This window comes from Homo sapiens, chromosome 1 (genome assembly GCF_000001405.40).
Source record: "Homo sapiens chromosome 1, GRCh38.p14 Primary Assembly".
NCBI lineage: Eukaryota > Metazoa > Chordata > Mammalia > Primates > Hominidae > Homo > Homo sapiens.
The window spans coordinates 150,363,546-150,390,403 of NC_000001.11; the positions used below are offsets into that span (position 1 = coordinate 150,363,546).

General features: G+C 42.4%; 1 protein-coding gene across 16 annotated transcripts in view, besides 3 other annotated features; it reads left to right on the forward strand.

Moving 5' to 3' along the window:
* Window positions 50-359: an enhancer, noted in NCBI's record as "active region_1685". NCBI's record gives its function as "activates an Ori minimal core promoter by ATAC-STARR-seq in GM12878 lymphoblastoid cells {active_cell/tissue: GM12878}" and the evidence as "EXISTENCE:reporter gene assay evidence [ECO:0000049][PMID:35858748]".
* Window positions 602-26,858, forward strand: part of RPRD2 (regulation of nuclear pre-mRNA domain containing 2) — a 112,420-nt gene continuing 86,163 nt past the window's right edge. For all 16 annotated transcript variants that reach the window (NM_001387124.1, NM_001387123.1, NM_001387122.1 and 13 more), the window contains exon 1: window positions 602-1,374. Coding sequence is in view for 12 of the 16 variants with exons in the window: in NM_015203.5 (NP_056018.2) it covers window positions 1,170-1,374 (205 nt within the window). In the remaining 4 variants the exon portion in view is untranslated. The remainder of the gene's footprint in view (window positions 1,375-26,858) is intronic.
* Window positions 1,110-1,389: an enhancer, noted in NCBI's record as "active region_1686". NCBI's record gives its function as "activates an Ori minimal core promoter by ATAC-STARR-seq in GM12878 lymphoblastoid cells {active_cell/tissue: GM12878}" and the evidence as "EXISTENCE:reporter gene assay evidence [ECO:0000049][PMID:35858748]".
* Window positions 1,873-2,162: an enhancer, noted in NCBI's record as "active region_1687". NCBI's record gives its function as "activates an Ori minimal core promoter by ATAC-STARR-seq in GM12878 lymphoblastoid cells {active_cell/tissue: GM12878}" and the evidence as "EXISTENCE:reporter gene assay evidence [ECO:0000049][PMID:35858748]".

A 26,858-nucleotide genomic window follows, 5' to 3' on the forward strand; every position in this document is an offset into this window, starting at 1 on the left:
CCTTTCACTTCCTCATTTATTTCCTTTTCCTGTAACCTAAATGGTCAAGCGGCTGTGAATGTTATCTTCTATGGGCAGCAATAAATACGGTTTGGTGTCGGAGTCTGCGTAGTGAATGGCTCACTGGATCTGGCGCATGCGCATCTTTTGTGGTGCCGCAAGATGGCTGCCAGCCATTTTGTCGCGCGTTGCTCCTCCGAGGAGTTGGGGGCGATGGCTGCAGCCCCCTGAAGACTAACAGTGGTCTCAGTGGTGGGAATTTTCTGTCTCTGTTGTGTGAGCTGAACACACCCAAGAGAGCGGCCAAAAGCAGCAAAGGGCGGGGCAGGGGAACCCCCCCACCCGGCTAACCTTAGTTATACCAGCTCCCTCACCCATCCCTCCCAGTTTTTCCTTCCATCCCGTTACACGCTTATCTTCTGCGCAGGCGCAAAAATAATCGTAGCGCCTCCTGGGCCCTGGGGGCTTCAGAGCTCCTGCGCGCGCTTGTGGTTCTCCACTCCTGATTGGTCAGGTTGCCCCGCCATCACGCCTCCCTCTGCTTTCAAGGTTGAGAAGGAAGCAGGGGTAGGGGGGTGGGGCCAAGTGGCGCGTGCGCGATACTGTTGCTGCCCCTTTGCTGCTATTGCGTTGCAAAAAAAATCCTGACTAGGTAGCCTTGGACCTTTTCTGTGCTAGCGAGTCTAAAGGAAAGAAAGATTTCTGCAACTGAAGGGGCAGTCGGGTAGTATTACATTTAAGATATTAACGCCCGACCTGGCTCACAGGAGTGTGGGAACAGGGGCGGGGAAGGGCCTTAGCACTGAGAGCCGAAAAGTATAAAACGATTAGTTTCGGCGTCAGGCGTTTTGAAAGGCTTTGCAGGTCCTGTTTTCTGCGTAATTTTTCCGTGATTACTGACTGGTTTAAACACGACCCCTTGAACAATATTGATAAAACCTCCGAGACCCGCAGCCCCTCCTTGCAGCGTGTAGGAGCTGCCAGCGTGCCCAGCAGCTGGTGTTCCCGTCCGTACCTCCAGAAGAGCCCAGCGCGTGCACCATCCCCACCCCCTAGCTTCCCTCCCCACCTACGGCTTTCACGCACTCGCAGTGATTGTTTTGCCCGCTCCCGCCGCCGCCGCCGCCGCCGCCGCCAGAGGAGCAGCAGCGCTTGTGCAAACCGGGAAGATGGCGGCCGGCGGCGGCGGAGGCAGCAGTAAGGCCTCCTCCTCGTCGGCCTCTTCGGCAGGGGCTCTGGAGTCCTCGTTGGATCGAAAATTCCAGTCGGTAACCAACACCATGGAGTCCATTCAAGGCTTGTCGTCTTGGTGTATAGAGAACAAAAAACACCACAGTACTATCGTCTATCATTGGATGAAGTGGCTCCGGAGATGTGAGTGTTGGGGGTGACTAGGGAAGGGAAGACTGGGGAAATGGAAGGAAGTGTGGCCTGAAACGCTTGGGGTTTTCCCACGGAGCCGCAGCATTTGGTTGGGGTTGTTCACATTAAAGGTTTGACCCCAGTGGTCCCAAACCCAGACTCCATTCCTAGCCAGGATTGTCCTGAATTGCAGGAGACTCATTTCTTGGGTTTTTTAGCCATTGAATTGTTGTGACCTTGGGCCGTTGGGCCCAGATCCATGGAGATTTACGTATATTGTTTTTAATATTTCAGAGCCTTGTAAGGTGTATTGATTTTTCCGAACCTTCGCGGAAATTGTAGCGTCTGTTTATTTCTTACAGGCCTTGACGTGTTAATGATTTCTGGCTTTCCTGATGGTAGGCGAGCTGTGGTTTTAAGCAGTAGTAAATCCAGTGATGTTTAATGAGGAGTGCCTTGTCTGGATGAATGTATCTAAAACTTGTGATGTGTAGTAAGGAGAGCCTTACCTGGATGAATGTTAAGAAGCAGCATGAGCTCTACATAGATCTGAGGCACCACCGGGTTTTCCCTGTACCTGTGTTTGCTGCAATAAAATACAGGTTTCTTGGATACTGACCAGAAACAACTGCGATACAGTAGTCAGTATCATCGTTAATACCTTCAAATATAAAGCGTGTCCAGTTCCTCTTTTTTTTTGAGACGGAGTTTTGCTCTTGTCGCCCAGGCTGGAGTGCAGTGGCGCGATCTCGGCTCACTGCAACCTCCACCTCCCGGGTTCAAGCGATTCTCCTGTCTCAGCCTCGCGAGTAGTCGGGATTACAGGCGCCCGCCACCATGTCCGGCTAATTATTTGTATTTTTAGTAGAGACGGGGTTTCATCATTGTGGCCTGGCTGGTCTCGAACTCCCGACCTCAGGTGATCCACCTGCCTCGGCCTCCCAAAGTGCAGGGATTACAGACGTGAGCCCCCCGTGCCCGGCCCCGTTACTTTTTAATTACCTGAAATACCTTTTTACACAATTGAGTTGATCTCATGGGTAATGTGCACAGGAAATGTGCTTTTTGAATATGTAGTACCTTTTTCTCCAGTTATGTTTTTTTTGTCTTTATCCTGGAGATTTTTCCATTTTGCTGCTTTACTGCAGAAACGAGCTCTGTTAAAGCATGGATTGTTTGCAGAACGTTTCAAATCTTATAGGAGGAAGTGTGGAGAAGTTACTGTTTCCTGCTGAGAAGAGAGGGTTAACTCATACTCCATATACATCTATTAGAATTTTTCTTTGCTTCCTGCCTGCGGCATTTCACCAGTGAGACCCATCATCCAGTTATTCTGCCTTATTCCACTTCTGCCATTGCTCCTGTAGTGTTTTGATTTGTTTACCTTTTAGAGAACAGATAGATAAAACTTGCAAAATTATAGGCCCCATGCTTCGAACTATTTGTGTTTAAAGTTTTGGGAGGGATGTTTTGTGGTTCTTTGAATAATAATGCAGAGAAATTAGTAGATACCGGACAGAATTACCTGTGTTTACCAATAACCGATCAAAGAGTTATTTTCTTGCCCAGAGGTAAAATTATAACGTGCAAAAACATCAAATATGATAACAGTCATCATTGAAGACTCACATGTTAAGTATCTGCTATGTGCCCAGTCATCTCATTGTACCTTAAAATCGTCTGAGAAGTAGATTTTTTAATCACTGATTTACAAACGAGGAAACTAAGACTCGGAAATTAAGTTGCTTAAGGTTACTCAGTAAAATGGTGGGGTTAGGGTTTGACTTCATCATTAACTTTGTAAAATAATGTTTAACGTTCTTGGTATACCAGTGATATATTGCAAACAGTTCTAATGTGAGTGAGAGAACCTCTTCTCCACCCTATTTTAAAACATTTTTACTGACCTATGCAAGCATTTTACATTTCCTCACCTTGGGCTCTGGGGCTTTAACTGTATGGTTACATCATTTGCAAGAATAAGTTGGTCCCTGTCCCGTCTCTGCTGTGTGGGATCACAAGCGACAATTACAGTTTTTTTTCTAGTCAGCAATAATGAGATAAAATGAAGCCAGAATTTTTTACCTCAGCTGTTGTTGCTATTGTGCCTGAGCTTATTTCCTTTATTGATATCTTAAGAGTGAAAAAATGAATGCTCCAGGAGGGCAGTGTGTCAGTTGAAGTGCATTGTGTATAGTTTATATAGTTAAGTGCTTTTGGCTAAATATGATGTTGTTTTTCTAGTGGAATGGAATTTAACTTTCTAAAATGATTAAGGGTAATTTTAGTCGTTTTGTATTTACATTTAATGAACTTCACTGGTCTCATTGTAAATAAAGCGTTTTGAGAGAAATATTCAGCAGAATGGTGTGGGGCGCAATGAAAACAGTTTATGCATGGGCCTTGTTTTCATTTAAGTTCTTATTTCTTTACAGTTATACTTAGTTTACTCTGAGTTTGGTTTCTAAGTCAGCTTTAGGAAAAATTGTGAAGCAGGTATCTTTGGACTCTGAGTTTGGTTTCTAAGTCAGCTTTAGGAAAAATTGTGAAGCAGGTATCTTTGGCATTCCCAGCCTTTCTGTCCATTTTCCTGATGCCACTTTGCTTCTCTTTTTTCTTCTGACATCCGTTATTTAGTAATTTATATTTATATTTAGACCTCAGTATAAATTTAAGTAACTATTAGATTCCAGAGATATTTTAATTTTATCCTTTATTTCAGTGTGTAATGAGACTTTTGTTCATATAAAAGGAAATAATTTAGAGAAATAGGCTATCTAAGGATATGTTCCAGAGATATTTTTATTTTATCCTTCTTTACTTTTTTTTTTTTGAGATGGAGTCTCGCTCTGTCGTCCAGACTGGAGTGCAGTGGCGCGATCTCAGCTCACTGCAACCTCCACCTCCAGGGTTCAAGCAATTCTCCTGCCTCAGCCTCCCAAGTAGCTGGGATTACAGGCACGCACCACCACGTCCAGCTAATTTTTGTATTTTTAGTAGAGACAGGGTTTTACCATGTTGGCCAGGGTGGTCTCGAACTCCTGACCTCAGACCATCATTTTCTAAGGTGATCTTTCTGTAGCATAAACAAATGTCATTCCTCTGCTTTAAAACCCTGCAGTGATATCCCATTGCAACAAGTTGAAGGTCTGAATTTCTTTTACATTGATCTGTAAGTCCTGTACCATCTGCTCTGCCTACCTCGGGCTTCTTCACATCCTGCCTCCTTCTCATTGTTTAGATCAAATCTCAACTATTACCTCCTCAGAAAGACCTACTTTGATCACCTTATTTCTTGTTTTTTTTTTTTTTTTTTTAATACGGAGTCTTAATAGATTTTTTTAAATTACATGTATCTGTTTTTTATTTATTTTAAATTAATTTAATTTAATTTAATTTTTTTGAGATGGAATTTCGCTTTGTCGTCCAGTCTGGAGTGCGGTGGCGTGATCTCAGCTCACTGCAACCTCTTCCTCCCAGGTCAAAGTGATTCTCTTGCCTCAGCCTCCTGAGTAGCTGGGATTACAGGCGTGCACCACTAAGCCCAGCTAATTTTTTTTTTTTTTTTTTTTTGAGACAGAGTTTCACTCTTTTCACCCATGCTGGAGTATAATGGCACGATCTCAGCTCACTGCAACCTCCGCCTCCCAGGTTCAAGTGATTCTCCTGCCTCAGCCTCCCAAGTAGCTGGAATTACAGGCATGCGCCACCATGCCTGGCTAATTTTTGTATTTTTAGTAGACGCAGGGTTTCACCATGTTGGCCAGGCTGGTCTTGAACTCTGGACCTCAGGTGATCCACCTGCCTCTCAGCCTCCCAAAGTGCTGGGATTACAGGTGTGAGCCGCCGCACCCGGTACCTGGCTAATTTTTGTATTTTTTGTAGAGACAGGGTTTCACCATGTTGGCCAGGCTGGTTTTGAACTCCTGATCTCAGGCGATCTACCCACCTCAGCCTCCCAAAGTGTTGGAATTACAGGCGTGAGCCACTGCACCCGGCTTCGCTTTATTTCAAGTAGTGCCTTCAATTGCTGTCACATCATCTTATTTTCAGTATATGATATTACCTTGTTTGTTACACGTTTATTGTCTGGCTTCCCTCCACCAGATGACAAGTTTGTCTTATTTGTTGCCCTGTCCCCAAACAACTAGGATAGTGCTGGCGTACAGTTAGCAATCAGTAAATGTTTGCCAACATAATGTGAAATAGCTAATCAAGAACTTAAGGAACAGAATTGCTTTAATTTCTGTTTATCAGAAGGAAGCATTTATAATTTAGTGAAAGAAATTACAGGTGCAGCAGTTGGAGGCATATGGACTTGATGTGCAATTTGCCCAGATTATCATTTCTGTACTTCGTTCTTCTTTCTCTCTTTTCTGTGGGGAGGTGGGGGAGGGACAGAGTCTGGCTCTGTTGCCCAGGCTGGAGTGCAGGGCATGATCTCCGCTCACTGCAACCTCCGCCTCCTGGGCTCAAGCAATCCTGCCACCTCAGCCTCCTGAGTAGCTGGAACCATGCCACCACACCTGGCTAATTTTTTTTTTTTTTTTTTTTTTTTTTTTTTTTTGAGACGGAGTCTTGCTCTGTCGCCCAGGCTGGAGTGCAGTGGCGCGATCTCGGCTCACTGCAAGCTCCGCCTCCCGGGTTCACGCCATTCTCCTGCCTCAGCCTCCCGAGCAGCTGGGACTACAGGCGCCCGTCACCGCGCCCAGCTAATTTTTTTTTTTTTTTTTTTGTATTTTTAGTAGAGACGGGGTTTCACCGTGGTCTGGATCTCCTGACCTCATGATCCGCCCGCCTCAGCCTCCCAAAGTGCTGGGATTACAGGCGTGAGCCACTGTGCCCGGCCTACACCTGGCTAATTTTTATGTTTTTGTTTTTGTTTTTTTTTGATGCAGAGTCTCACTCTGTCGCCTAGGCTGGAGTACAGTGGCGGAATCTCGGCTCACTGCAACCTCCATCTCCCGGGCTCAAGTGATTTTCATGCCTCCGCTTCCTGAGTAGCTGGGATTACAGGCACATGCCACCACGCCCAACTAATTTTTGTATTTTTTAGTAGAGATGGGGTTTCACCATGTTGGCCAGACTGGTCTCAAACTCCTGACTTCAAGTGATTCGCCCACCTCAGCCTCCCAAAGTGCTGGGATTACAGGCGTGAGCCACCACGCCCGGCCAAATTTTTATGTTTTTTGTAGAGACGAGGTATTGCCATGTTGCCCAGGCTGAACTCTTGGGCTCAAGCTATCTGCCTGCCTTGGTCTCCCAAAGTGGTAGGATTACAGGCGTGAACCACCAGGCCCAGACCTTCTTTCCCATTTTTAATGGTAAAATGGGAATCAATATGGAAAAATATAAAAGAGGCCTGTGTTAACATGTTAACTCCGGTCACTTAATACTGGATGACACTTTGCAAAGTACTTAAACTGTGAACCTCAGTTTTTCATCTATAAGTAGTTCTGTACCTGTAGATGAAAGTTCTACAATCTACAAGTAGAGATAATTCTGTCTGGAATTTACATTCCAGACACTGTCTACAGTGCTGGAAATTACATTCCCAGTTTGTGAGAGACGAATTGGACTAGCCTCTCTGTAGTAAATTAGCATATGCTTTGAAGAACTAGGAGGACAAAATGGAAAATATTGTGTTAATGACATCCATTTTGTCTTTTTTTTTTTTTTTTTTTTGAGACATATTCTTGTTCTGTCACCCAGGCTGGAGTGCAGTGGCATGATCTTGACTCACTGCAACCTCTGCCCCCTGGGTTCAAGTGATTCTCCTGCCTCAGCCTGCCAAGCAGTTGGGATTACAGGTACACACACCACACCCAGCTAATTTTTTGTATTTTTTTGTAGAGATGGGGTTTTGCCATGTTTGCCAGTCTGGTCTCAACCTCCTAAGCTCAAGCAGCCCACCCTCCTTGGCTTCCCAAAGTGCTGAGATTACAGGCATGAGCCACCGCACTCTTCTTAGCTATTTTTCATAGAAACTTTATGTATAAAAATAGAAGGGTAATGACACACCACCTTTCTACTGATCTCCCCACTTCAGTAGTTATCACATAACAGTCTTTTTTCACCTATCTCCTTCACTTTACCTCCTCTCCCTTAGTACTTTGAAGTAAATCTCAATGCAAGCTGGTATGTTTTTCAAAATGAAACATATAAACATGGACTAGAAAAAAATCTCTTCATACAGGATTTGGTTTTGCAGAGAATTTACAAAGTACGGTTAATGTATGCCAATGGTTTCTCAGTTTGGATATCGAGATCCTTAGATGGACCATGAAGCTGGTAATAATTTTATAGCTAACTTTTGTTAAGTGCTTACTATATGCCAGGCACTGTTCTAAGCATTTTACGTGTATTCATTCATTCAGTTCTCACAACTCTTTTAATTAGGTATTATTATGATCTCCATTTTACAGATTAGAAAACAGAGGCACAAAGAGGTTTTTTGTTTTTGTTTTTGTTTTTGAGACGGAGTCTCTCTCTGTCACCCAGGCTAGAGTGCAGTGGCACGATCGTGGCTCACTGCAAGCTCCGCCTCCCGTGTTCACTCCATTCTCCTGCCTCAGCCTCCTGAGTAGCTGGTAGCTGGGACTACAGGCACCCACCACCAGGCTGGCTAATTTTTTGCATTTTTGGTAGAGATGGGGTTTCACTGTGTTAGCCAGGATGGTCTCGATATCCTGACCTTGTGATCCGCCCGTCTTGGCCTCCCAAAGTGCTGGGATTACAGGCATGAGCCACCGTGCCCGGCTGTGCCAAGAGGTTAAGTAACTTGCCCGTGGTTACACAGCTAATAGGTGGTGGAGATGGAGACAGAATTCAAACCCAGGCATTCTTGATCTACAGTATACACTCTTACCCACCATCCTACACAGCCTTTCTTATTCATAAAATATTTTCTACAGTGCAAGAAAATTTTGATAGCTTGCTTATTTATTCAAGATTTAGACTATATAGATTAACTAGACTATCAAGATTTTAAATTCTTGTGTTTTTTGTTTTTTTCCCCCTCTGTGGCATAACTATCTCTTAGTGATTTGAAGTTCTGATAGGCATTTATTTATGTTTTTGATTAATTAAAAAAAGGGAAAAAAATGGAACATAATTATTGAAGCTATCGTCTAGGTAAAAACCTTTCTAAATGTAAGGTTCATTTAGATTGATGACCTGTAGAGTGTAACAGTATTGCCATAGGCATACAGCTTTTTAATCACATATCATACATAAACAAATTAGTAATACAGGTGGGTAGATACAGACCCTAACTTTGAGCTCTAAGATGAAATTTGTTTATAAATCCCTAGTTTCCATTCAGTTTTTTCAATATTTATCAAACACCTACTGTGCCAGGCATTGTTTAGGCACAGGGGATACAGCAGGAGAACAAAATGAACAAAATTTTTTGCCTTCACAGAGCTTAAAATTTAGCCGGGCTTGGTGGTGCACACCTGTGGTCCCAGCTACTTGGGAGGCTGAGGCAGGAGAATTGCTTGAACCCGGGAGGCAGAGGTTGCAGTGAGCCATGATCATGCCAGCCTGGGCAACAGAGTGAGACTCCGTCTGAAAAAAGAAACACACACACACACACAGACACACACACACACAAAGACAGCATATACTCTAGTAAGGGGAGACAGACAGCAAACAGATAAGTAAAATATTAAACATAATAGAAGGCGATAAATGCTCTAGAGAAATAGAAAGCAGGGAAGGGGGAAACAGAGGGGTTTGCAGTTTTACATTAAATGGTAAGGGAAGGCCTCACTGAGAAGGTGACATCTGAGTAAGGAGGTATGATATTAAGCAATATAGACATGAGGGTATGAGGTGGGCATGTTCAAGACTAAGTGAACAGAAAAAACAAAAGTCCTGAGGTTAGAGTGTGCCTGGTGAGTTTAGGGAGCAGCAAGAAAGCTTCTGTGACTGGAAAGGAGTTGTTAAAATGAAGATTAGTGGATGAGTTCAAAGAGATTATGGTGGGTGGTGTTGGGGAGGGGTGAAATGGGATTCACCAAGGGTTTTATAGGCATTGTAAGGACTTTGGTTTTTATTCAGAGTGAGATGGTGAGCCATTTAAGCAAAAGGAGATGAACTCTTTTTTTTTCTTTTTTTTTTGAGACGGAATTTTGCTCTGTTGCTCAGGCTGGAGTGCAATGGCACCATCTCGGCTCACTGCAACCTCTGCCTCCCGGGTTCAAGCGATTCTCCTGTCTCAGCCTCCTGAGTAGCTGGGATTACAGGTGCATGCCACCATGCCCAGCTAATTTTTGTATTTTTAGTAGAGACAGGGTTTCATCATATTGGTCACGCTGGTCTCGAACTCCTGACCTCAAGTGATCCGCCCGCCTCAGCCTCCCAAAGTGCTGGGATTACAGGCGTGAGCCACCACGCCTGGCACTCGTTTGTTTTTAAAAGGTTATTCTTGTTTCTGCTGGAACAGGGATACCAATTAGATGGCTATTGTAATCCAGTGTAAAATATTGATGGCTTGGACCAGGTTATGGCCAGCGGAAGTGATAAGTAATTTAATTCTAGATCTATTTTGAAAGTAGGTCCAGCCAGATTTCTAGGTGGATTAAATGTGGGGTGAGAGAGGAGGAGAATAATCAAGAATGACTTTTTTTTTTTTTTTTTTTTTAGCTTGAGCAACTAGAAAGATAAGAGTTGACATTTATTGATATGGGGAAGGCTGTGAGTGGAGCAGATTTTGGGAAGAAGATGAGAAATTTAGTTTTGGATGTGTTAGGTTTGGGATGTCTATTTTAAGAAATCTTTTTTAAAGATATAATTCACAAAAAATATACTCATTTAAAGTGTACAATTCAATTGTTTTAGTATATTCATAGAGTTGTTCAGCAATCACCATAGCGTGTCTAGTATATGGATTGTTTTTAGAGCCAGGAAGCTGGAAGAGATCAACTAGAGAGAGAGTGTAGATAGGGAAGTAAGTCTAGTAAGATAGAGCAGCAAGTACAGATATAGAAGAGGTCCAGAGAGAAGGCTATGGTATTATGAAATCTCTATTTGGTCTCTGTCCCATTTCCTGGCATACTACTTCAAAAATCCTTGGGTCTTCAAGGTGATAAGTGTCATTTTGTATGCTAATGAGTTGACTGATGGTTGGCATCCCCTGGGTAGCCTAAGGATGGGGGCTGGTCACTGGAAAGAATAAGGCAGGACTAGAGGTTGTGACTTTCCGCCCTACCATCTAACCTCTGGGGAAGGGAGAAGAGCTGAAGGGGTAAACTGAACACCAGTGGCCAGTGGTTTAATTAATTATGCCTTCATAACGAAACTTCCATAAAAATCCAAAAGGACTGGTTTTGGGAAGCTTCTAGACAGCAAAACATATGGAGGTTCCTGGAGGTTGGCATGCCCAGAAAGAACCTAGAAGCTCTGCACTCTTAGCCCTACCTTGCCCCCTCCATCTCTTCATCTGGTGTTCATTGGTGTCCTTTGTTATGTCCTTTATAATTAACCAGTAAACGTGTTTCCCTGAGTTCTGTGAGCTGCTCAAGCAAATTAATGGAACCCAAGAAGGGGGTTGTGTGAGCCCCGATTTATGGTGGTTGGGTCAGAGCAAATGTTAACCTGAGATTTGTGATTGGCATGGGAAGTGGGGGGCAGTCTTGTGAGACTGAGCACTCAGTCTGTGGGATCTGATGCTCTCTTCCAGTGTCAGAATTGAATTGGAGGGCACCTAGCTGGTGTTCATTGCAGAATTGCTTGCTTGGTGTGTGTGGGGAGAACTCTCATACATTTGGTCAAAGAAGTCTTTGTTGATTGTTGAATGAGAATGTAGGAAAAGCACTTTTAAGTTTGTTTATTCTCTATTCTCAGAAGGCTGTTGGGGCATTCTAGTATTTTAGATGACTCTTTCTACTTAGTCTAGTGTGTTATTGGCTTAGGTTCTTTTTGAGGTTCAAGGTAAACTTTGTCTCAGCCCCCCAAAGAAGTAATAAATCTATTTTGGTCTCTTGCGTATTTTTACTCTTGGTTTACGCTTAATGGCATTTCTGTATTCATTGAGCAGGAGCTCTGTTATAATTGGTTATTATCCACCCTCTCCCTCCCCTTTAGATGCCTAAGTCACCTTTTTTTTTTTTCATTCCATTGCTCTAGGTTCATAGAGTTATAGGTGGTATTTTTCCAGGTTTCTGGCAATGTTTCGAAACATGGAACTGTCTTAATTATAAACTATAATTATTGTAATGGTATATATTAAGCCTTTTTGTCTGTATTGTGAGACTTTCCAAGCAGTTGTTATCTTCTTCCTTTTAGCTGCTTAGTCTCTTACAGCAGAAGGGTGATTTCATCCATGGCCTTAGGTGGGTTTGAAGCAATATGTAAAACATAATTTTACTATACCAAATTCCATAGTAAGCTAAAGAGTAAATTTTGTAGCAAATAAACATTCCCATAACTAAAAGTGTGAAACACTACTGACAAACTTCACATGGTTCTGTGACATGGAGGTATCTTGAAAGGAAAATTACAATAGCAGTGGAAAAACACTAATATTAAAATTTGCTCACAGAGGCCACCCAGAATTACTTTAATGTTAGTTTTGTCTGTAGAGGAGGGACGAGTGTATGTATGTGCGTAATTTTTTAGGGAGTAGAAGCTTACTGATTTTATTCTTTTTTGTTGTTATCAGCTTCCTTGGGTTGAATGATTTTACTCTTAATGATTTGGCTTCCTGCCTTTCTTAAACTAATAAATAATAGTTGCATCAAAATTCTTTCTTCCTCCTAGGCTTTTGTCAGTTATGTTCTCTTTTTTCCTCCCACTTTTTCCAGGTGTTTATTGTTTTACAGCAGTACTTTTAAAAGTCAAAAGGGGAGATTTTGGTCAGTTGTTTTAAAATTTCAATTGAGAATTAAGGATACATGAGGTTTAATTTGTTGAAGGAACTCAGAGACCCTAATAAAAATTACCCAAGAACAGAACAATTTACAAACCAGCTTGACTGACTTTCTCATCTATTTGTCAAGGAAACAAAAAGTAGTTGTGTTTCGTAGTGATTTCAAATTCCACTGCCCCCACAGATATTAATTATAGAACACTGGAGGAATGTACATCTTAGGGAGAAAGTAGTAGAACCTAGTTATTCCTTTTGAGAAAAGGCAACAATTCCATCTGTGCTTTGAAATATTAAAGCTTTTCTGGCTAAGATAAAGATAGTTTTTAAAAATGCTTCATTCTTATTCTCTTGTTTTTAGAGAAATATTGAAATAGAGGCTCTTTGATGAAGGAAATGAAAATGTTTGGTTTGCTGGGTTTAAATTTTACTAGTGTTTGATTGAGGCCTTGATCTCTCCCTCATCTCTCTTTCTTCACTTCTTTCTCTTATAATTAATTTCACTTACTTGCACTTTCTAGTTCTCTGGAATCCATTAGCAGAGAGAGAGAGTGATTCTTTATTACCCTTTAGTAAAAGTTGCACTGTGAAAGGAAAAAAGGATCTTTTAATGTTTGGGATTATAACTTAACATTTTTTGTTTTAAAAAACCTAGAATGGATCCTGAGCTGTTTTTGTGTTCCTTTACTGTCATCATAGTTTTAGAGTGTAGCATGATACAGTCTTTTTTTTTTTTTGAGACGGAATCTTGCTCTGTTTGTTGCCCAGGCTGGAGTGCAGTGGCGCCATCTCGGCTCACTGCAAGCTCCGCCTCCCGGGTTCACGCCATTCTCTCGCCTCAGCCTCCTGAGTAGCTGGGACTACAGGCGCCCGCCACCACGCCCGGCTGATTTTTTGTATTTTTAGTAGAGAAGGGGTTTCACCGTGTTAGCCAGGATGGTCTCGATCTCCTGACCTCGTGATCCGCCCGCCTTGGCCTCCCAAAGTGCTGGGATTACAGGCGTGAGCCACCGCGCCCGGCCGATACAGTCTTTTAAAATGATGATCTTTGTGTCTAGGAGGCAGTATTACTTGAAAGATTAAAATTCTCTTATAATATGTTATGCCTAAAGATACAGAATGAGAAAATGAACTTAGAAATACTGAGTGCTGGCCGGGCGCTGTGGCTCACGCCTGTAATCCCAGCACTTTGGGAGGCCAAGGTGGGGAGATCACCTGAGGTCAGGAGTTTGAGACCAGCCTGGCCAACATGGTGAAACCTTGTCTCTACTAAAAATACAAAAATTAGCTGAGCGTGGTGGCATGTGCCTGTAGTCTCAGCTACTCGGGAGGCTGAGGCAGGAGAATTGCTTGAACCCAGGAGGCAGCAGTTGCAGTGAGCTGAGATTACGCCACTACACTCCAGCCTGGTGACAGAGCGAGACTATCTCCAGAAAAAAAAAGAAAAAAAGAAAGGAAATATTGAGTACTTCCTCTATGTAAACCCCTGTATTGGGTGCTGAAAGAGATGGAATTATAAGGAACTTAACATTTAGTAAATGGGCCGGGCGCGGTGGCTCACGCCTGTAATCCCAGTACTTTGGGAGGCCGAGGCGGGCGGATCACGAGGTCAGGAGATTGAGACCATCCTGGCTGACGGTGAAACCCCGTCTCTACTAAAAATACAAAAAATTAGCCAGGCGTGGTGGCGGGCGCCTGTAGTCCCAGCTACTCGGGAGGCTGAGGCAGGAGGATGGTGTGAACCTGGGAGACAGAGCTGGCAGTGAGCCGAGATCGTACCACTGCACTCTAGCCTGGGCGACAGAGCAAGACTGCGTCTCAAAAAAAAAAAAAAAACATTTAGTAAGTAAGATAGGAATTGAACACATATAACTGGTTCTGGGAAGTATAATAATATGAGTTTTATATGCTCTAACAGTTTAGAATAGGTATCACTTTGGTTGGATTGCTGGATCCTTATTGTTTACTGAGGATCCTTACTAGCTATCATACATGTATTACCTATAATCTTGATGTCAGCTCTGCAAAATATGAATTTGTAAATTTATAAAAAATATGAATTTATAAAATATAGATGTGTAACAGTTGAATTTATAAATTTATTAAAAATTTATAAATTGAGTCTCAGAGAAGTAAATTGATTATTTTGGGGAAATTGTCAGAACATTTATAGTGTAGGAAAAGGAAACGTGCCTGGTTTCAGAGTGGCTAAGCATAAGCTTAATTTTGTTTTATATAAGCAGAAGTCACGTGAAGGTAAGTGGGAGAAAGAAAAGAAATACGGTGGATTCAAAGCCCAAGTTGCTTACAAGTATGTTGTTATTACTTAATAATCTTATATTTCCAGTCATTAATGTAGTTAATTTTACAAACATAACACTAATAGTTTAGTAAGAAAATAACATTTACTGAGTTCTTATGTGATTTCATTTAATATAACAATTCATTAGTTAATGTATTATTACTGAGTAAATCTATTAGTGATGTATATGTAAATTACACTGGTGACAGGTAAAATAATAAACCCTATAAATGACAATAAATTAAGTACTTGAGGGCTCAGTGAGGTTAAAATAACTTGTTCAAGGTACACAACTAATGAACAATAGAGCCAGGTTGCAAACTTAAGCAGTCTTGACTCCAAGGCCTACACTTTACCATTATGGTAGACGGCTTCCTGCTTCTTTCAGAGTATATTGGTATTTTATAGTGTTCCATGGACAGTGTGGTATATACAGGATAAAAGTTCCCAAACAGCCTTGCACCTGCCCATTCTCATATAGAAGCAAGTAGAAGAACACACTTCTCTCCTTTTAAGCCAGACCATTAAACAGATTTGCAAAAATGAAAAACAATTTGCTCCCACTAAATTTTTGTTTTACAAAATATAGTTATTTTTAATTAAGAAATAATTTATTGGCTAGACAGGGTGGCTCACTGAGTGCCTGTAATCCCAGCAACTTGAGAGGCCAAGGCGGGTGGATCACATGAGGTCAGGAGTTCGAGACCAGCCTGGCCAAAATGAAGAAACCCCATCTTTACTAAAAATACAAAACTTAGCCAGGCATGGTGGTGCGCGCCTGTAATCCCAACCACTTGGGAGGCTGAGGCAGGATAATCCCTTGGACCCGGAGGTGGAAGTTGCAGTGAGCCGAGATGGTGCCACTGCACATCAGCCTGGGCAACAGAGTGAGACTTCATTAAAAAAAAAAAAAAAAAAAAGGCCCAGCTGAATTGGCTCATGCCTGTAATCCCAGTACTTTGGGAGGCCCGAGCAGACAGATCACAAGGTGAGGAGTTCAAGACCAGCCTGGCCAACATGGCGAAACCCTGTGTCTACTAAAAAAAAACAAAAATTAGACCGTCATGGTGGCGTGCGCCTGTAATCCCAGCTACTCAGGAGGCTGAGGCAGGAGAATTGCTTGAACCTGGGAGGCGGAGGTTGCAGTGAGCCCAGATCACGCCGTTGCACTCCAGCCTGGGCGACAGAGCGAGACTCCATCTCAAAAAAAAAACAAAAAGAAAGAAAAGAAATAATTTATTGATTGTAATGGATTTATTGTTTTTAATGGGTTAATGGATGTTTTTAAATTCTTAGGTTTAATTTCTGTTTATTTTATTTTTATTTACGTATTTTTTTTTGAGACCGAGTTTTGCTTTTGTTACCTAGGCTAGAGTGCAATGGCGCCATCTCGGCTCACTGCAGCCTCCGCCTCCCAGGTTCAAGCGATTCACCTGCCTCAGCCTCCTGAGTAGCTGGGATTACAGGCATGTGCCACCATGCCCGGCTAATTTTGTATTTTTAGTAGAGACGGGGTTTCTCCATGTTGGTCAGGCTGGTCTCGAACTCCCAACCTCAGGTGATCTGCCCGCCTCGGCCTCCCTAAGCACTGGGATTACAGGTGTGAGCCACTACGCCTGGCAAATTTTTGTATTTTTAGTAGAGATGGGATTTCACCATGTGTGGCCAGGATGGCCTCGATCTCTTGACCTTGTGATCTGCCCGCCTTGGCCTCCCTAAGTACTGGGATTACAGGCGTGAGCCAACGCACCCGGCCAGGTTTAATTTCATATAGTAAATAGCCATAGCTATAACCCACAAAAACATAACTCTTTGAGGTCCTCAGTAATTTTTACCAATATAAAGGGTTTCTGAAACCAAAATATAGAATGACCTTTGTCAATTTTCTGCAATGTAGATATCCATTGTCTCTCATCTTAACATCGCATATTGCCCGATCGTCTCTAGGCTTTATTTTATCAACCAGTTAATTTTTATTTTTAATTTGTGAGATCATAAGTTTGTTAGCTTTTTATTTTGCCAAAAATGGACATAAAAATATACTACATTTATAGCATCACTACCCACCATTTTATAAACTATCACTTTATTAAAAAGGTTATACTTTAATTCCAAAAGTGTTAGAAGGACATTTTCTCAGAATAAAGGATAAACCTTCAAACTACATAAATTTAGCTATTTGAAAAATTTGCTTTGATGTCCTTGTCTTTCAGATCTCAGCTCAGGTGTCATCTCCTTGGAGGTTGACCTTATGGTGGTTGTCTGAGAGCCCACCTCTTTCCCTCGCCCATCATTCTCTTATCATATTACCCTATTTTTTTTTGTTTTTTTTCCTCCTGGGTTCAAGCGATTCTCCTGTCTCATGGCAAGCAGTTCTCCTGTCTCAGCCTCTGAAGTAGCTGGGATTATAGGCATACACCACCATGCCCAGCTAATTTTTGTATTTTTCTAGTAGAGATGAGGTTTTGCTATTAGCCAGGCTGGCCTTGAACTTCTGACCTCAGGTGATCCACCTGCCTCAGCCTCCCAAAGTGCTGGGATTAAGGCGTGAGCCACCACACCCGGCTCCTATTTTATTTTATTTTTATTTTTTTGGGACGGAGTCTCTCTCTGTCGCCAGGCTGGAGTGCAATGGCGTGCTGTCGGCTCACTGCAACCTCTGCCTCCTGGGTTCAAGCGATTCTCCTGCCTCAGCCTCCCGAGTAGCTGGGATTACAGGTGCTCGCTACCACGTCCAGCTAACTTTTTTGTATTTTTAGTAGAGACGGGGTTTCACCATGTTGGCCAGGATGGTCTCTATCTCTTGACCTTGTGATCTGCCCGGCTTGGCCTCCCAAAGTGCTGGGATTACAGGCGTGAAGCACGCCTGGCCTTTATTTTCTTTATGGCTTTTCTCATTATAAGATACTGCCTTGTTTATTTATTTGCTTATTTATTGAGACACATGGCCCCCCTCACCCCCAAAAAGAATGTAAACTGCTAACAACAGATTATTTGTTTTGTTCACCACTGCATCCTCAGCACCTAGAAGAAGGCATGGAACATAGAAAGTGCTGTAATTGTCAGGGTGTGCTGGCTTATGCCTGTAATCCCAGCGCTATGGTAGGCCAAGGTGGAAAGATTGCTTGAGTCCAGGAGTTGGAGACCAGCCTGGGCAACATAGTGAGACCCCCATCTCTACAAAAAAAAAAAAATAGGTAGACATGGTGGCGCGTACCTGCAGTCCTAGCTACTCAGGAGCCTGAGGTGGGAGGATTGCTTGAGCCTCAGTGGTTGAGGCTACACTGAATTGTGATTGTGCCACTGCACTCCAGCCTGGAAAACAGCAAGACCCTGGCTCCAAAAACACAAAAGTGCTTAATCAATGAATCTTCCTTAAGTGTGACCCCAGACCACACGTTGAGAACTGCTGCAATAGGACACAATTTTTTTTTTTTTTTTTTGAGACAGGGTCTTGCTCTATCGCCCAGGCTGGAGTGCAGTGGCGTGATCTCAGCTCATTGCAAGCTCTGCCTCCTGGGTTCATGCCATTCTCCTGCCTCAGTCTCCCGAGTAGCTGAGACTACAGGCGCCCACCACTGCGCCTGGCTAATTTTTTGTATTTTTAGTAGAGACGGGGTTTCACCGTGTCAGCCAGGATGGTCTCGATCTCCTAACCTCGTGATCCGCCCGCCTTAGCCTCCCAAAGTGCTGGGATTACAGACGTGAGCCACCGCGCCCGGCCACAGGACACAATGTTTTTGTTAGATTTATGTATGTAGGGAGACATACTGTATTGTACTGTTGTATGTTGGTTAGTTGGTAAAGAACATGGGCTTCGATCTCAAATAGACATTATGGTTGCTACTAACCTCTGAAAGCTTTTAAATAGGGATAATAATTGTATAGCTCACCTTATATGATTGTTGGAATTAAATAAGATGCTTCATATGAAGTGTTTGGCAAACTACCTGACATTTAGAAAATTCAGCAAATGATAACTTGTCATTTAAAATGCAGTTATGATATACAGTTATTATAACGTTTTATGCAGGCCTGTCTGCATAAGCTTTTTAAATTCTTCCGATTAATCCTGCGTACTCTATGTGAAATGTTTATTAAGGTTAATAATGTAAAGGAGTGGACATGGCTTTTTTTGAGCCCTTTCTTATTAATATTAGCAAATAGCAAAAGAACATATAATTTGGAAGCTGTTTTCCTATTTTGATTATTTCAAGGACCTATTCATATAGCAACATCTTGTAGTTCTAGAAATTCATTGAGAACTTAAGAATTTTTTATGTTTTTATAGCTTTTTTGTTTGTTAATTTGTTTGTTTGTTTTGAGACAGAGTTTGGCTCTGTTGCCCAGGCTGGAGTGCAATGGCGATCTCGGCTCTGCCTCCCGGATTCAAGTGATCCTCTTGAGTAGCTGGGATTACAGGCACCCATCACCATGCCCGGCTAATTTTTGTATTTTTAGTAGAGACGGGGTTTCATCATGTTGGCCATGTTGGTCTTGAACTCCTGACCTCAGGCAATCTGCCTGCCTCAGTCACCCAAAGTGCTGGGATTACAGGCGTGAGCCACTGCACCTGGCCTATAGCTATTGTGCTAATATAAATGCATCTTGTTGGGTGCGGTGGTACTTGCCTATAGTCCCAGCTACTTGGGAGGCTGAAATGGGAGGATCACTTAAGGCCAGGTGTTTGAGGCCACAGTGCACCCTGATCATGCCTGTTAATAGCCACTGAACTCCAGCCTGGTCAACATAGGAAGACACCTTTCTAGTTTTTAAAAATAAATGAATAAGAGATAAGGTTTCACCACGTTGCCCAGGCTGGTCTAGAACTGCTGGGCTCAAGCAATCTGCCCACCTCAGCCTCCCAAAGATGCCAGAATTACAGGAGTGAGCCACTGTGCCCGGCTGGGATTTTTTATTTTTATTTTTTTGAAACAGAGTCTCACTGTGTCACCCAGTCTGGGGTGCAGTGGTGCGATCATGGCTCACTGCAGCCTTGACATCCCGGACTCAGTTGATCTTTCCCATCTCAGCCTCCTGAGGTGCTAGGACTATGGGTGCAGGCCACCATGGTCAGCTAACTATTAAAATTTTTTGTAGAGATGATGTCTTGCTATGTTGCCCAGGCTGGTCTCGAACTCCTGGACTCAAGCTATCCTCTTGCCTTGACCTCCCAAAGTGCTAGGATTACAGGTGTGAGCCACGAGACCTGGCCTCAAATAAGAGGTTTTTTTTTTTTTTTTTTTTGGTGACGGAGTCTTGCTCTGTTGCCTAGGCTGGAGTGCAGTGCAGTGGCGCAATCTTGGCTCACTGCAACCTCCACCTCTCAGGTTCAAGCGATTCTCCTGCCTCAGCCTCCTGAGTAGCTGGGATTACAGATGCGCGTGCCACCACGCCCAGCTAATTTTTGTATTTTTAGTACAGACGGGGTTTTGCCGTGTTGGTCAGGCTGGTCTTGAACTCCTGACCTCAGGTGATCCACCTGCCTCGGCCTCCCAACTTGCTGGGATTACAGGTGTGAGCCACCGTGCCCAGCCAAAGAAGAGATTTTAAAAGGACATCAGTATTCTTGGTGTCACTGGATTTTTAAAAATAAATAATAGAAACAAGGAGTATAAAACAATTTCACTTTAAGAAGACTTAAAAAACCTGATAATAGAAAAGTGAAGAGCTTTTGAAATTCATTCATAGGACATCCCCACACATGCATGCTATTTTTAGTATCAACTAGGATAAGAATTCACTTCTGTCCTCTTAGGCTTCTCAGATTGCCATATGTAGCACATATGCATCAACTGACAAATGTGATAAGATATGGAGAAAATATACCATACTATAGTAGTGAACAAAAATAACAGTACAAATTTGTACTTTGTGCAACAGAATTTCCCAAAAAGTGGTGATAGTTTAGGGTTTCACTGTCAAAGTTTAGGAACTACCAAATTAAAGTTAAACCTGCTTTCATGCTGCTGGACTTTAGTACCCTTAATACAAAGACCTATGAGTTTCTGGAAGGGGTGGGTAGGATATTCAGCATTTTCCAAACTTATTTGACCATGGAATCCCTTTCGTTTTTAGCCATCTCATGTGACTATTGTTTCCTGGAACGTGCTTGGGGAAAACTTTGGTAATGTAAGAGTTTCTGGGAAAATCCTAGTTGCAGAGCAGGGAGTACCAATTTATATTTGTATACAGTAAGAAAGGCTTCATGGAGGAAACGGTTTTTCAAAAACTATGTGAAACAGGTGAAAGAAGACATCCGATATATAAGCAAAAGTGTGAAAGAATCAGAGAGGAGTCATAACCAGAAGGCACGCATGCATAGCTAAGTGAGAATGGAAAAGACAGAAGGAATAAAAGGCATCATCATCATTATTATTATTATTATTATTATTATTATTATTATTATTATTAGGGATGGAGCTCTTGTTGCCCAGGCTGGAGTGCAGTGGCACGATCTCTGCTCACTGCCACCTCCGCCTCCTGGGTTCAAGCAGTTCTCCTGCCTCGGCCTCCAAGTAGTTGGGATTACAGGCGCCTGCCACCACGCCTGGCTAATTTGTGTGTGTGTGTGTGTGTGTGTGTGTGTGTGTGTGTGTGTGTTTTTAGTAGAGACCAGGTTTCACCCTGTTGGCCAAGCTGGTCTTGAACTCCTGACCCCAGGTGACCCACCTGCCTCGGCCTCCCAAAGTGGTGGGATTACAGGCGTGAGCCACTGCACCCAGCCAAAAGGCATGATTTTTAAGACATTAAGAGTTGTGGTAGGGGAATATATTTAAAAGAAGGTAACTAGCTGAGTGTGGTGGTGGCGTGTGAAGTCCCAGCTAGTTGGGAGACTAAAGCAGAAAAATCACTCAGCCCAGGAGTTAAAGGCTATAAGGCATGATGATTCTGGCTGTGAATAGCCACTGCACTCCAGCCTGGGCAACATAGCAAGACTCCATCTCTTAAAAAAGGTAATTACATGTACACATAAAAGCTACAATAAATGGTGATTGTAACACTGAGCCAAGATTACTTTTTGTAATACTAGTATTAATATAACATTTGGGTTTTATTCAAAGCTTTTGAAATTCATAAAATTGAAATTAGTGAAGTGGCTGGATGTGCGGTGGCTCATGCCTGTAATCCCAGCACTTTGGGAGGCTGAGGTGGGAGGATTGCATGAGCCTGGGAGTTTGAGATCAGCTGGGGCAACATATTTAAGAGTCCATATCTAACCCCGCACCACCCCCACCAAAAAAAAAATTAGTCGGGCGTGGTGGCATGTGCCTGTAGCCCCAAGTACTCGGGAGGCTGAGACAGAATTACTTGAACCCAGGAGGTCAAGGCTGCAGTGAGCCATGATTGTGCCACTGCACTCTAGCCTCGGCGGCAAAGCAAGATCCTGCCTTTAAATAAATAAATAAGTAGTTAATATATTTAATATTTTAAGTATTATCATTCTAGAATATCAAATCAAAATATAAATTTACAAAACTGTAAATATGTAAATATTAAGTATGGGTTATCATAATACAAATCATTAGCTCCTACTGGCTTTGCCATGTCCTTTGACTTTGGTCTTTTTGCTAGAGGTACCCTTAGTGTTGTCATATGTGATGTAGCTGGTTAGGTTGGACTTCAGTATCATCTTGCCATGTTTAACTCCCCTGAGTAGTGCTTTCAGAGCTGTCTCTGTTGAGTGGTTCAAAATTGCTGAACTTTTAATTTTTCTCTTGGCCAACTTGACTAAGATGCCCTAATAGAAATCTGAATATTTTCTTTCCCCAAGGAGAAATCCTTTGTTATAGAGGGCTTTTTTCCCCCTTGGGTGCATATTCTCAATCTTTTAAGTAGGTGGTGACAAGGGTAGAGGGGAATGAGTTAGGGGAGTTTCCTGAGTTGAGTAATAAATCGTAGGTAAGTAGGGTAGAGTTTGTATTGAAAGTGAGAGGGGTGTGGTGTATGATTAGATAGAGAGAAGACATTAAGGTAAGAAAGATAAATAAAGCTGATTTTGTATTATGCCAAGAAAAATACCATATTTTGGTTCTTACCTATTTTTATTTATTTATTTATTTTACTTTTTTTGAGATGGTGGGGGATCTCACTATGTTGCCCAGGCTGGTCTCGAACTCCTGGGTTCTAGTGATCCTCCCACCTTGGCCTCCCATCGTGTTGGGATTACAGGCATGAGCCACCGCACCCGGCCTGTATTTTGGTATTTGAAATAGCACAGTTGGCCAGGCGTGGTAGCTCATGCCTGTAATGCCGGCATTTTGGGAGGCCGAGGCAGGTGGATTGCTTGAGCCCAGGAGTTCGAAACTAGTCTGGGCAACGTGACAAAGCCCCATCTCTACCAAGAATACAAAAAAAATTAGCTGGGCTTGGTGGTGCTGCATTTATCAATACCATAAGTTTATGTCACTTTTTACAAAATGAACCATCTGAAATGGTGGGCACCTGCGGCTGGACACCTCAATCTGTGGTACATATTGAGCAGTCCAACTTTTTTTGATAATGTCATGACTTTTCTTTGCTTCTTTGGAGCACTTTTAACATCACTAGTGGCACTTTGTGTGGGTCTCATGGTGTTTACTTAAGGTTTACAATATTGCACTAAACCTGAAAAATATGAGAACCACAAGAGATCACTTTTTACTGACATATGCAATTTTCTGGAGAGATGAACTGCTTACATAGAGATAATTAGCATCACAGGGTGTTTTGAGTGGATACTCACAATGCTTGAGCTCCCTGAAGTAGCAACAGGAGATGGCTACAAAATTATTACAGTATAGTATGTACAGTAGTGAATTTTATTCAGTTATGATATAATACTGAATTTTTATGATTGTTTACATTACTCTCAACTGGATGGCTGCACGTATGTCTTTTAAGTGTGTGCATAAGTTTTGATAGATGTTAACTTTTTAAAATAGATTTGTGTATATTTAATGGTAGTAAATGAGAAAATAGACTAGTGTCTACATAGTTTTTATGCATTCATGACATACCTAATTTTCTCAATTTCTAAAATACTTTTAGACTACATGGTTCATCTGTGAGTTTTTTCAAATTGTTGTAAATCTCCTAAAATTTTGAAAATGTATTTATTGAAAAATCCACGTATAAGTGAGACCTGTGCAGTTCAAACTTGTGTTGTTCAAGGGTCATCTGTCTAAGCATATGTTTACTAGTTAATGGATAAGCACTTCAGACCACAGTGTGTTAAGTGAGAAGAGAATAGGGCCAATGAAAGAACCTTGGGAGCACCAGAGTTTCAAGGTTAGTGCAAAAACAGGTGTGTTAGGGAAAGGAGAGAGGATCAGAACAAAATGGTTTCTCAGAAACTAAGAGAAGAGAAAGTTTGCCAGAGGGAAGGAGCATGATTGTACTGGGTTGCAGGTGAAACTGTACTGTTTCTAGTCATGTGACAGGCTAGATATTTTGCAGGATCCTTCCACCAGAAATACAACTAAATCTTACAGAAGTTGCAACAGACCTTTTTTTTTTTTTTTTTTTTTTTTTTTTTTTTTTTTTTTTTGAGACGGAGTTTCACTCTTGTCACCCAGGCTGGAGTGCAGTGGCGTGATCTTGGCTCACTGCAACCTCTGCCTCCTGGGTTCAAGTGGTTCTCCTGCATCAGCCTCCCCAGTAGCTGGGATTGCAGGCAGGCACCATGACACCCGGCTAATTTTTGCATTTTTAGTAGACAGAGATTCACCATGTTGGCCAGGATGGTCTTGAACTCCTGACCTCAGGTGATTTGCCTGCCTCGGCCTCCCAAAGTGCTAGGATTACAGGCGTGAGCCACTGCTCCTGGCCATTTTTTTCTTTTTTTCTTTTCTCTTTTTTTTTTTTTTTTTTTGAGACAGTGTCTCTCACTCTGTCACCCAGGCTGGAGTGCAGTGGTGTGATCTCAGCTCAATGTAACCTCTGCCTCCTAGACTTCAGCCATCCTACCACCTCAGCCTCCTAAGTAGCTGGGACTACAGGGGTGCACTAGCACGCCCAGCTAATTTTTGTATTTTTTTGTAGAGACGGGGTCTCACTATGTTGCCTAGGCTGGTCTTAAACTCCTGAGCTCAAGCAAACCACCCACCTTGGCCTCATATAGTGCTGGGATTATAGGCATGAGCCACTGCACCTGGCCCAGACATAATTTTTAAATAAAATTTTAGCTTTGCAGTAGTTTTGGATTTATAGAAAAGTTGTGAAGATAGTACAGAGAGTGCTTGTATGTGTGTGTATATATGTATGTGTATATACATGTGTATATACACACACATATACATATATACATGTATACACATATACACGTATACACATGTATATACGTGTATATACACATGTATATATATACATATATACATGTATACACACATATATATGTATATGCATATATACACATACACTATATATATATACCCGCGCACACACACACACACACACACACACATATATACACCCTGCATCCTGTTGCCCTTGTTGTTAACATCTTACATTAGTATGTTACGTTTATTAAAACCAATGAATCAATATTGATATGTAATTTTTTTTTTTTTTTTGAGATGGAGTCTCACTCTGTCGCCCAGGCTGGAGTGCAGTGGCGCGATCTTGCAACCTCCGCCTCCTGGGTTCAAGCGATTCTTGTGCCTCAGCCTCCTGAGTAGCTGGGACTACAGGCACACACCACCACACCCAGCTAATTTTTGTATTTTTAGTAGAGGCGGGGTTTCACCATATTGGCCAGGCTGGTCTTGAACCCCTGACCTCGTGATCTGCCTGCCTCAGCCCCTCAAAGTGCTAGGATACAGGCGTGAGCCACTGCACTTGGCCTAATATGTAATTATTAAGAGTCCATATTTTATGAATTGCCTTAGTTTTTACCTACTGTTGTTTTCTCCATAACTCCACATTTAATTATTATATCTCTTTAGGCTCCTCTAGATTTTGACAGTTTTGTTTTGTTTTGTTTTGTTTTTCCCTGCAGACAGAGTCTTGCTCTGTTGCCCAGGCTGGTGTGCAGTGGTACAATCACAGCTCACTGCAGCCTCGACCTCTCGGGTCTAAGCAATCCTCCCACCTCAGACTCCCGAGTAGCTGGGGCTATAGGTGTGCACCACAGGTATGCACCACTACACCTGGCTAATTTTTGTAATTTCTGTAGCAACAGGGTTTCACCATGTTGCCCAGGCTTGTCTCAAACTCCTGAGCTCAAGCGATCTGCCTGCCTCGGCCTCGCAAAGTGCTGGGATTACAGGTGTGAGCCACTGTGTCCACAGTTTTCTTTTAAGCTTCCCTAGATTTGGTCAGATATTTTGTAGAATGTCCCTCAATGTGGGTTTGTCTGTTTTTTTGTGGTTGTTTTTTGTTTTAATGATTAGCTGGGGTTATTGTTTCTTTGGAGGAAGACCACAGAGGTAAAGTTCCATTTTCATCACATGATATCAAGAGTGTCCATCCTATCAACATGTTTTACCGCTAATGATACTAACCTTGATCACCTGGCTGAGATAGTTTTTTTCAGATTTCTTCTTTTTTGAAGCCTCTTACACATTGTACTCTTTGGGAAGAAGTCACTGCACAGCCCACAATTTAGGGGAGTTATGCCGTCTACCTCCTTGAGGAGGCAGCATCTATGTAAATTTTTCAGAATTCTGTGTAGACATTAACAAGCACACATTTTAATGCATTACTGGGTGTACTAAAAAAGTAAGGGAGGTTTCCAAGGGTCTGTTCATTCACAGAAGTAAAGAGTCAGCTGAAACAGGAGCAGTGAGTAAGCTTGTGAGCAAACAAGACTGGCAACGTTTTCCTGAAGGCAAACGCTCACATCAGCACTAATGGGAGACTAAGCCTTGGGCCCCCAGAAACGTTGAAAAGCCCCTTGAGAAAGATGCTGAATTGAACCTGGGTCACTACTGCCCTTGACTCTCTGCCAGAGTAAATGCAAATACATTTTTAGAAAAAGCTTTCTCTGATTAGGCTTTCAGAATTCCCATAGATAAAATTCAACAAAATATAAGCTTACAATAAAAGAATTGCCAAACACAAAGAAATAAACAACTGTGGGTGAGATTTAATAGAAACAAACCCCAAAGACTTAAACTATTGAAATAATAAGATATGAAATATAAAACAACTGACCAGGCACAGTGGCTCACGCCTGTAATCCCAGCACTTTGGGAGGCCGAGGCAGGCAGATCACCTGAGGTCAGGAGTTCCAAGACCAGCCTGGCCAACATGGTGAAACTCCATCTCTACTAAAAATATTAAAAAATTAGCCAGGCGTGGTGGCACATGCCTGTAGTCTCCCTGCTGCTCGGGAGGCAGAGG